At 41.9% G+C, this 11,763-nt stretch overlaps 1 annotated feature.

Moving 5' to 3' along the window:
• Window positions 10,274–11,473: an enhancer, noted in NCBI's record as "P300/CBP strongly-dependent group 1 enhancer chr16:25644366-25645565 (GRCh37/hg19 assembly coordinates)". NCBI's record gives its function as "activates an origin of replication core promoter dependent on BRD2, BRD4, P300/CBP, MED14 and CDK7 cofactors, with strong dependence on P300/CBP, by STARR-seq in HCT116 cells {active_cell/tissue: HCT116}" and the evidence as "EXISTENCE:reporter gene assay evidence [ECO:0000049][PMID:35650434]".

Raw genomic sequence — 11,763 nt, 5'->3', positions numbered from 1 at the left:
GGGAATAGTGGATAGAAAGTAAGTAAAAGAGTTGTTCCAGTTATTAAGCTCCTGTCTTTTGGCTTCAAACCCACATGGGGCCAGGGTTGATACTCAGCAAAATTACACTTCTATGACATTTGACACAGGATTCTTTCCCTTTCCTTTCCTTTCCTTTCCTTTCCTTTCCTGTCCTGTCCTGTCCTGTCCTGTCCTGTCCTTTTCTTTTCTTTTCTTTTTTCTGATGGAGTTTTGCTCTTGTTGCCCAGGCTGGAGTGCAGTGGCATGATCTTGGCTCACTGCAACCTCTGCCTCCTGGGTTCAAGCGATTCTTCCACCTCAGCCTCCCAAGTAGCTGGGATTACAGGTGCCCACCACCACGCCCAGCTAATTTTTTATATTTTTAGTAGAGACGGGGTTTCATCATGTTGGCCAGGCTGGTATAGATCTCCTGACCTCAGGGGATCCACCTGCCTTAGCCAACAAATGACACTTCTATATGGGACTCCAGCTGCCTAGTCCCATTAGGCTTTACCAACATAAAACACTAGATGGTCACCACAAGGCTGGAGGTAGGAGGAGGAACCTGCTCCCCTCTGTCTGCCTGTGATTCCTGTGACCAACACCTAACAATGCTTCTTCGTGTTGCAGCAGGACTTCCTTCTTGAACCAACTTCCTGGCACCTTCGCAAAGGCAGCAGCACCTGCCAAGCAGTGTTCCTGCTCAGAGGTCTGAGACCTAGCCCTGGGGCTTTTCCTTCAAGCTTCTATGTCTTAGTCATTCCAACTTTCCCCCTTTGTTTTCTTCGTTTCTAGTCATAGTAGCTGCTTCTTGCAGTCATTACCTCCATGATGCCTTAAAGTTAGAAAGTTTTCCCTTTTCAGTTCTTCAATACGTAACATCATTTTTTTTTTTTTTTGAGACGGAGTCTCACTCTTGTTGCCTAGGCTGGAATGCAGTGGTGCAATCTCCGCTCACTGAAACGGCCTCCCAGGTTCAAGCAAGTCTCCTGCCTCAGCCTCCTGAGTAGGTGGGATTACAGGTGCCTGTCACCACTCCCGGCTAATTTTTATACTTTTAGTAGAGACAAGGTTTCGCCACATTGGCCAGGCTGGTCTCAAACCCCTGACCTCAGGTGATTCACCCACCTCGGCCTCCCAAAGTGCTGGGATTACAGGCGGGAGCTACCGCACCCAGCCAACACTTTTTAATATTAAATTCTCTCTGTTGAAATAGCTTGTGTGATTTCTTTTAAATGGGCCTGGATTGATATGGGGATCATAGCAAACTGGAGATAACTAAGCAGTGAAAGAACAGTAGTAACAATGGTATTTGAGCAAGTAAATTGGAAGAATAGGAGGTTTGCATGCTAGCATTACAGACTCGGAGTGGAACAGTTTAGAGAGATGATAAGGTGCAAGGTACTTTGGTCACAGTGGGTGGCTGAGATACAAAGGAAGGTAAGGGTATTAGAGATGAGGAAATCATAGCTCTGAGATGCATTGCATAGGTTGACTACTCAGCCATTGAAGGCAGCCCAGATGATGGCAGCCACTAGAGTAAAAAGGAAAAATGTGAACCAGAATTACATACAGAAACAGGGTTTTGAATGTCTTTAGTGGAAAGGGATGGAATCCGTTTTAGAGTTGAGAGGCTTGAGCTTCAGAACAGTTTTTGGTTTGGTTTGGTTTGGTTTGGTTTTTTTAAATGAGATGAAACAATGGTATGAAAGCACAGAGTGAAATCACAAGGACCACAATAACCATACTTTCTGCCCCCTTGAGGCGTGTGGGTTTGAGATAATAAATTACTTTCCCTTGTGGGATTGCAAGGGACATGGTGTCCTCAGAGAACTGCCAGGTTAAGACAAAGGAGAATTTGCTATCAAATGAGAAATAATAAAGGCTGCTACGAATGTGGTAAATGCTTTAAAATGAAGTTGTATGTTATTAATCACAACATTTATGTGCATCTGTGAAATTTATGTCAAGACACATTCGCTTTACTGCATAGAAGGCCTGGTATGTATGTGAATTCCTGGAGCTCATTGCAATGAATTTAAGGGACACAGGGAGTCACGACTCACAGGTTACAGGATGGATCTGGAAGGCTCTGACACCTCTGACATTCCCACGTCCTCTTCACCTCTTCACTGGTGAGGTGCCTAACACAGCCCCAAGGAGAAGCACTATGTCCTTCATATCATCAGGGAGTCGTGTTTTTAAAATGGCAGCTGGATGTAGCTGGAAGGGATAATCCTGAAGTACACGTGTGTGTTCCCAGAGCCCTGGTTCAACAAGGGTATCAACGCAGCAGTGTAAGAGCTTCTATTGGACTGAACAACCCAGTGAAGCAGCTATAGCTGAGGACTGACCGTACTCCCCGATTCTTCTTCTGCTCAGTGTTTAGAAGCAGGACAACTCCTTTCGGAACGAACAAGCATCTGAACTTATATGGCATATGGCGGGGGGGTAGGCACCCGTGGGAGTAATAAACCTACTAAGTGACATGTGTGGCCACTCAAACAAATAAGTTGAAAAATAACTGATGTATTTATTTCTGTATCCCACGTTTGTCAAACAGGTCAATGAATAAATAAATATAAATTTTATAAATTAGACTTCTCTATGTACAGAAGTACAACTCATAAATTGTTGCTAAGGGGGAAAGCCACAGTGATCATTTTTCTTTGTTTCACTTATTTGTAAAATGATCAGGTTCACAAATGAACTGTGGGTAGTCAGTTTATCTCTCTCTAATTATCTATTCACTGAGCTTTGTCATCATCAATAATTATTATTTAATGAGGTCCACTGTACCAGAAATAGCTGGTGAGAAAAGTGCATTGTGTGAAGGTTCCATTCTTAAGAAAAAGAATACGTAATAACAAATAACCAACTGAACAAGGAATGTACTATACCTGTATGAGTGACGTTATAAAATTTTACTGAGAGGTATTCAAAGATTTGGATAAAATGAAAAAAAAATACACCAGAATCCTGAATGGAAAGAGTCAATGTGGTATCTCCAATTATCTCTAATCTTAGTCCCAATGGGGCTTCTTCGGATCTTGACAGTAAGTTTCTAATTCTCATCTAGAAGAAATCATGCTGGAAATAGAGAATAGGACTTTGAGGGGGAAAAAGGCATAATGAGAATTCAATACCTATTAATATGTATTATAAAGCTGTAATTGTTAAAACAGCAAAACGGTGGTACGGGAATACACAGTTCCATGGGACAGACTGTCCAGAAACAGATCAAAGAAAAGCATATAGAAGTTCAGAATATGATAAAAGGTGGCCTTTCACATTTATAGGGATAATGATTTACAGACTATTGCTTAACCATTTGGGAAAACAATTGACTTATATAGTTGAATACATAAAGGAAAAAATTTTCTTATTAAGTTGCAAAGGCAAGTTCACCCAAAGGTAACATAAATAATACTTCAAAAATTGTATAAAATATGAATGCCTTTAATGTCTAAAGGGATCTTTCAAATAAATGTAAAAGGATAAATACTCTCAAAAAAGAGAGTGTCAATACAAAAACAGAAAAATATTTACACAGGAGGACACATAAATAGTCAAAGATGAAAAGAGTTTCAATTGCATTAGTAATTAAAGAAGTGCAAGTTATAGAGTTAATATGTCACATGCATTATCTTATTCAACCCTAACATCAATGGATATGATGAGCCCTTGATGACTTTGAACTCACTGAATTATGGTATTCCCTATCTCTACCACCTTATGGTAGCCTCATGAGAGCCTACGTCTATTTTCTCCCCTGCAGTTACCACATGTTGCCATGGTAGGTGGAGAGGGGAGGCTGTGTACTTTCCTTATATGCCCTCCCGTGGCTGGCTTCCTGTGTCGAGTGGGTTGATTGCCCAGAACCATGCTTTGCAGTAAAATTTCAAGTAGAGCCACCACTTAGGTTCCTGCTATACACATACCCTACCACTACGACCACTGCCACCACCACCAGATTAGCCCCTTTTCATGCTGATATGTGCCTGAACGAAAGTCTGCACTGGCCATGGCCTTTGATATTTGGGCAAACGATCACTAGCCTGTCCTCCCTGCTATATCCTCCTGCCCTGTCTGGACCCACATTCCTATCCTCCCTGCTGGACTCTGTTGCTGAGACTCCATGCCTGAATCCCCCATGTAATTCCTTGTGATTCAAGTGCCTATGGATGCATTTACAGGAACTTTGAGCTGATTTCACCTCAGATCTCAGGTCACATTTCTCATGGACACCTTTCTGCAGACAATGTAGTTATTAGCACTGTGAACAGAACAGAACAGAAGGTATCCATCAATCCTGGTGGCTTATGGCATTAGTCCCTGTCTTCTCCAATCATACACAGTAACAGGCACTTATATAATTTAGATATGTGTCCCCTCCTAATCTCATGTTGAAATGTGATCCCCAGTGTTGGAGGTGGGACCTACTGGCAGGTACTTAAGTTATGGGGGCAGATTCCTAATGAATGGCTTGGTGACCTCCCTGTGGTAATGAGTTCACATGAGATCTGGTTGTTAAAAAGAGTCTTGGACCTCCCCTCTCTCTCTTCCATCTCACCGTATGATACACTTGCTCCCCCTTTGCTTTCCACCATGAGTTAAAGCCTTCTGAAACCTCACAAGAGGCAGAGCAGATACTGGTGCCATGCTTCTTGTACAGCCTGCAGAACTGTGAGCCAAATAAACCTCTTATCTTTATAAATTACCCAGCCTCAGGTGTTCTTTAATAGCAATGCAAAGCAGACTAATACAGGCACCTAAGTTATTCTGTCTGAAAGCCCAGTACAGTGCCCAAGAGAACCAGTAGATCAGAATCCTCACCTCTACCAACTGGTGAAAACTGACTCTGTCTTGCTACCTTGAGCCTGATATTGTATGTGGCCTGAGTGGGCCCTTGACTAAAGGTATGCCATCTAAAGCCAGCCCTTTTGGTCAGGACTTATAAGGTTACAAAAGAAAGAAAACTAAAGTCAAGTTTTAGCTTAAGACAAAAAGGGAATTTGACATATGCAACTTTAAAAGGGTGTATTGGTCCATTTTCACACTGCTGATAAAGACATACCCAAGACTGAGTAATTTATAAAGGAAAGAGGTTTAATTGACTCGCAGTGCCACATGGCTGGGGAGGCCTCACAATCATGACAGAAGGCAAGGAGGAGCAAAACAACGTCTAACATGATGGCAGGCAAAGAGCATGAGAGGCAAGAGAAAGGGGAAACCCCTTATAAAATCATCAGATCTCATGAGACGTATTCACTACCATGATAACAGTATGGGGGAAACCACCCCCATGATTCAACTACCTCCCACCAACTCCCTCCCACAACATGTGGAAATTGTGGGAGCTACAATTCGAGATGAGATTTGGGTGGGGACACAGCCAAACCATATCAAGGGGGATATGGCCTCATTGAGAGTCTGAATTATGTCCTCAGAACTCTGTTTCATTCTCTGTCCAATCTCTGACTTCATTCTGTTGGCTTCATTCTCAGTTCTACCGATTGATGGCAAGATAGATGGCAAAATTTCTGGAGCCAACTTCTCCCAGGCTCAAGTGCAGCAGAAAAGACGGCAAGTTCTCTCCCAGCAGTGGTAGCAAAAGTCCTACTGAATCTCACTGGCTTCGACTGGGTCACTTGCCCATTTCAGAACAAATCACTGTTGCCAGGAGAATACAGAGCTTCTATTGACCAAGTCTGGGGCACCTGTCTTTCCCAGGATGCAGAGGCAGAGAGTTCTCTTTATTCAAATCATACAGACAAAGAAGCAAAAGGATGGTTTTCCAGTGTAACTCAGGGAACTATTATTAAAGAAGAAGGAGAACATAGTGTATAGCCCACAAAAGAACAGAGGTCTCCTACACACACTGACATGGTTGAAGCTCTTCTCTTACTTATTATTGTCCTGCACTTCCTAGGGCTCTGATAACCTTTGCCTGCCTACTGATGCCAGGATATGTCTGTCCCTAGCCTTCTATGACTGAATGAAATCCTTCTTTATCTATAAACACAAGCAAACATGAGACCCAACTCCTCTGTAGGAACAATCTAGAGAAGTGGAGTGCCACGATTATTAGTTATAGACTAAATCAACATTTTTTCATTCAATAGATATATATCAAATGTATTGTATGTGCAGGAGCTGAGCAAACAGTGGCGAGAACAAGGCAGATGGGAGGAGGATGGGGAGATTAATTCAAATGGTACATAGAAACTACAGGTTGTACTGACATGTATTTCCTTTAGTGGTCAGCCTTCCTTACCCCCAAGAATATCCCTGGTTTATTGCTGTGTCTTCATTGGTTCACTCTTAAAGTTCTGTTATGCATTGTTCTTGAGTCCACATAGGTGTTAATCATTCCACACCACTCTGTTTAAACTGTCCAGCTCTACCAGTACTTCAAACTAATTTGCCTCTTGAGTTTCCATCCATCCTTCTCACAGACATGATTCTCTGGGCCAAAAACAAGAAAACTGCATGTTGGCTGGAATTGAATAAAAGTCAATTTATCAGCCATGTGGCTTCTGCGTGGGCAACATTCATCCCCCAAACATTTATGGGGCTCCTGCAGTGACCAAAGGATTGTGTGCAAGGAGGAAGAGGAATAAAATGTGAGCTCAGCATTCCAGGAGCTTGCCATCTGGTCAGAAAGAAAGGTATGTCTGCAAATGGCTGCACAACAAGGATTAATGTAATAAAAGCAATATGGTGGCACAAACCAGAAGTTATAGAAATGGAGGCATTTCCTGGAGAAGCCAGGGACTGGAGAGCTAGAGAGTTGCTTCTGGTAAGTAGGTCCTATGTGCTTGCAGACTGGCTGTCGTGCTTTATAATTTTTCCTAAAAACCTCACTCCTCTTTGCCAGTCCTCTCTAAAGTCTGAGCTTTCAGCTCTGAAATACTGACTGCTGATGTACATTGAAGACACAAGGTATTCTCATGCCAGTGCTAGTATCTGTTGCTGTGTAACAAATTATCCCAAAACTTAGTGGCTTAAGACAACCCACATTTATTTTCCCACAGTATCTGTGAGTCAAGAATTTGGACTAGTTTAGTTATTGATTCGGAGGATGTTGCAATCAAAACGTTGCTTAAGGCTGAAGTCATCTGAAGGCTTGACTGGGAATGGGGAATCAGCTTCTAAGCTCACTTATGTGATTGTGGGCAGGAGGCCTCACTCAGTTCCTGGCTGGCTGTTGGCCAGACACATGGTGAGGGGTTCTCATCATACAGACCTCTCCAGGGGGCTTCTTGAGCATCTTTACAACATGGCGGCTGGCATTCCCCCAGCTACGAATCTGAGGAAGAGAGCGAAGAGATACCACACTGCTGTTTATGACCTAGTCTTCAAAGCCATACACTTGTCACTTCTGATATTTTTTACTGAAACCGAGACACTAAGCCCAGCCTATACTTAAGGAGAGGGAAATTAGACTCCAGCTGTAATAAAAAAAAAAATCGAAAAAATTTAGACATATATTTAAACCACCACAATGCCTCCTTACCTTTTATTATACTGATCCAGTTGCTTTTTCTGGCAGAATGGCAAAGAGGCTGAGAACACAAGCTCTGAAATAAAAATGTCTAAGTGGAATTCCAGGTCTACCACCTACTTGAAGTGTGACCTTAGGCAAATAATTTAACCTCTTGGGGCCTCAGTCTCCTTATCTGTAAAATGGGAATAATAGCACCCATTTCATATGGCTGCTGTGGGATTAAAGGAATGTAATAACATGTAAATATTATATGATTAATACACGTAATACATGTCAAACACCTAGAACCATGAGTGGCACACAGTAAGTGTTCAACAAATGTTAGCTTTCTTTTTTCTTTTTTTTTTTTTTTTTTTTTTGAGACGGAGTCTCACAGTGGTGTGATCTCGGCTCACTGCAACCTCCTCCTCCCAGGTTCAAGTGATTCTCCTGTCTCAGCCTCCCGATTAGCTCGGACTACAGGCATGTGCCACCATGCCCAGCTAATTTTTTTATTTTTTATTTTTTATTTTTAGTAGAGACAGGGTTTCACCTTGTTAGCCAGGATGGTCTCAATCTCCTGACCTCATGGTCTGCCTCTTGACAAACTCCTGTTCTTCAAGACTGAATTTGACTGCTTCCTCTATTCCTAAGTTTTCTAGATTTCCTGGGCAAATTTTTCTCCTCCTTCTCCTAAGATTCTCTATCATTTTGATTAGTCTTATAGTTGGTACTTTTCAAACTGTATCATCATGACTTAATTACACATCTGTGTCCCCCACGAAATGGTGTAGCCCATAAAGATAGATTTGGAATCCCTTAGAGGCAGGTTCTATGGAAGGGGAAGGAAAGCAGATTCTGACCAGCCTAAAAGAGACCCAATTTTATATTACAGAATAGGGGCCTTGAGGAAAAAGAGGATTGAGTTCTTATGCAAAGTGATTTCCTGACCACAGCAGCCTGGAGTTAACACCAACTGCTCCCCAGAGTCACCTGGTGGAAGTTCTTGGAGTGAATGCTGCCTTGGGGAGAGAATCCTCTCCATCACAGATCTGACACCAGGAGCCTGGGCACTCATTACACATTCAAACACTTCTCAAGGGGACTGTTAGCAGGTTTCGCATACAAGGAAGTACATTTTCAGGAGCATGTGATACTCTGAAAATGTTTTTATCCAGAAGAAGAACATGTTAGGGGAAGGATGGGTTGATGTTTCCTGAACACTTAGGGACAGTTGTTTTTGCTTAGCAAGATTTTGGAAGGGCCTGAATTAAATCACACTGGCTCCCCTTATTCCAGGATACTATGGGGGAGAGGGACTTCCTCTGCCTAAGTGGACCAGGCTGCTGTCAACAGAAAGCTTCCAGATGTTGCACAATAGCAGGTGTGTCATCAACCTTCACTCCCCCAAAGTGAAAGACTATTATGCTGCTATTAAAAATCATACTTAAAAGGCATTTTCATGGATCGTTTCTATGGTTGTTCCAGGCACAAACTATCACTGCCATTGACTCCACCTCTTGGATATAACAGACCAGCCCATTCTTTCCCTAGCCTGTAAAGTTGTACCATTGTAAATTGTAGCCTGGATTCTAGAAGACATATGAAATGAAATTAGGTTGGTGCAAAAGTAATTGTGCTTTTTGCCACTATACAAGTGGAAAACTTCAAACAGTTTTGAACTGTTTCAAAAGCAGCTTCTACCCAGTTGAAGGATGTCCTGAAGCCCCCATGTTTATAAGATGGGCTTGTGGTCATGTGTTTTGACTTGCCCACTCCATCTCCATTATAAAACCATAACTTTCCCAAGTCAGGTAGCTTGGAGTGGGTGGAGACATGAAATTTCCCTCTATATCTGTCTCCAGCATGGAGGACATTGCACGAAACTGACTTGACCATTCAGAACTTTCAACCACTAGGTCGAGGTGGGGGTAAAGAGTAGATGTTTATATCCTGATTGACATCATCAAGACCCAGGATCCAGCCACACCTGAAATCACACTACTTAATAGATTTCCAAGTTTCATGCCCTTATAAACTATTTTTACTGACTTCAGCCAGTTTGAAATGGATTCTTTCCCTTATAAACCCAGAGTTCTGACTAACATGGTAGAATATATAGTCAGGATGGCAAGTACCAATCTCCTTTGCCCTCTTGCTCTACATTTCAGATATTTATCTGAATTTTTTGTACTAGAAACTCCTGAAAGATAGCAAAACTAATGATTTTCACTTCCTCTTGAAACTTGGTACCTTTGAGAATACACTTTTGTAAGTATTTTAATTAGAAGATGGGAGAGAGTAAATTTATACATTTTTTGAAAAGTAATGTAGCAATATGTGTCAAGAACCCAAGAAAATTAAACTCATATAATATGTCTGAAGAATTTCTCTTTTAGGCATCCAACATAAAGAAATAATTAGCAATAGATGTTCATGGTAAGGATACCTGGGAAATTAGGAAAGACAAAAATCTCAATTGCCAAACTGCCAGTTCTCACAGAGACAGAATGTAGTTCAGGAGTTAGATCACAGGATTCAATGCTTCTATATGCACTTGGCTGTCTTGCTACCCTCTTGGAAACATTGTTTCCTAGCCTATTATGATGGTAGCTTACTTATTCCCTATACTATTGATAGTATTAAAACCAAGTGCTCTCCACTCAACTTCTTGTTACTTTTTAGCTTTTGTTCAATCATAGCTTCCGTTACCTTTTGGCATCAGTCACCTTCAAATCTAGCACTGCCATCTTTCTGAGTGTCTTTTGTCCTCTTCCCCCACTACCTGAGTCTTTCTGGTGATGTATGGTTCCCATTGGCAATGAGTCCCATGACCCATAGCCCCTGCTTACCCGTGGTGCCAAGAAAAGTTTCTGCAGGGCCTGGTGCAGTGGCTCATACCTGTCATCTCAGCACTTTGGGAGCCTGAGATGGGAGGATTCCTTGAACCCAGGAGTTTAGACAAGCCTGGGCAACATAGCAAGACACTGTCTCTACAAATAAAACAAAAAATTAGCCTGGTATGGTGGTACATGACTGTAGTCCCAGCTACTCAGGAGGCTGAACCAGAAGAATCAGTTGAGCCCAGGAGTTCGAGTCTGCATTGAGCTATCACACCACTGCACTCCATCCCAAGTGACAAAGTGAGACCCTGTCTCAAAAGAAAAAAAAAAATGCTGAACCATGTTTCTTGCTGACCTGTGCAGCTGATGAATCTTGGCTCATACTGACTCATGGTTTCTACAGATTCATACTTCTACCTGACCCACAGTTTCTGTTGACCCCTTGTTCCTACTGATCCATGGATCCTGCTGACCCATGGCTCCTGGTGACTCATAGCCACCTCTGAGTCACGGCTGCAAATGACTCATGGCTCCTGCTGACCCATGGATCTTGCTGACTTCTCTTCTGCAGACCTGTGTCCTTTAGTAAAAATGATGCCTGTTAATCCATGCCTTCTGTTCATCCATAATTTCTAGTAGGAGGAAGAGAAGGCTAACCCCTCAGAAGAGTTAGGGCTCCAGAAAGTTAGATCTCAGTTCAGGGTAAGCCTGAAATTTCAACCAAAGATCTGTAACACCAATTATGAAAACTGCCTAGGAATACAATACTTCCCCCCTGCCCCATATATTAATATATCTATTGTGCTCCCCGCCCCTACCTTACTGAATGGACTCCTTTGATTATTCTCAACAATAAGGTACAGAGAACACGAAGAATGTTACAGCTCTGGGGTAATGGAAATAGCATTTTTTTGTTGTTGCAGGAAACCTCTAACTCAAATTATTTAAAGCATTTTTCTAGAGCCTCCTAGAAGGTATAATATGTGTGATGATTTTCGATCACTCTAGAAGTTTGCCTTTGGTTTTAAAATAAGTAAGCTCCTCAAGTGGAAGTACTACCTGAAGCTGAAATAGTTTAAAGGAAAGACATCAAGAAACACAGATTTCTAGAATTTCAGTGATTAAAAGCTACTTTGAAACTTTGAATCACCCATCTTTTGTATGAGCAGCTTGTACAACATCCTGCGTAAGAATAACCCAGTCTCTCCTTGAATGCCTCCAGTGAATAGGAGCTCATTAATTCTGGAGGTAGACCCTTCTATCTTTGCGTAGTTTTCATTATGACAGAGATTTCTTGCACAGATCCCAATTTCTTTCTCCCTGAAATTAATTTAGCTCCATGGACCAACAGGAAAAATAAGCGTGAATTTTTCATATCACAATTCTTCAAACATTTAAATGTTACTATTGGATCATTCATTCATTCATTTA

Source organism: Homo sapiens, chromosome 16 (genome assembly GCF_000001405.40).
Source record: "Homo sapiens chromosome 16, GRCh38.p14 Primary Assembly".
Taxonomy (NCBI): domain Eukaryota; kingdom Metazoa; phylum Chordata; class Mammalia; order Primates; family Hominidae; genus Homo; species Homo sapiens.
Note: the sequence above shows the minus strand (reverse complement) of the source record. Positions and strands in the feature narration are given on the sequence as shown.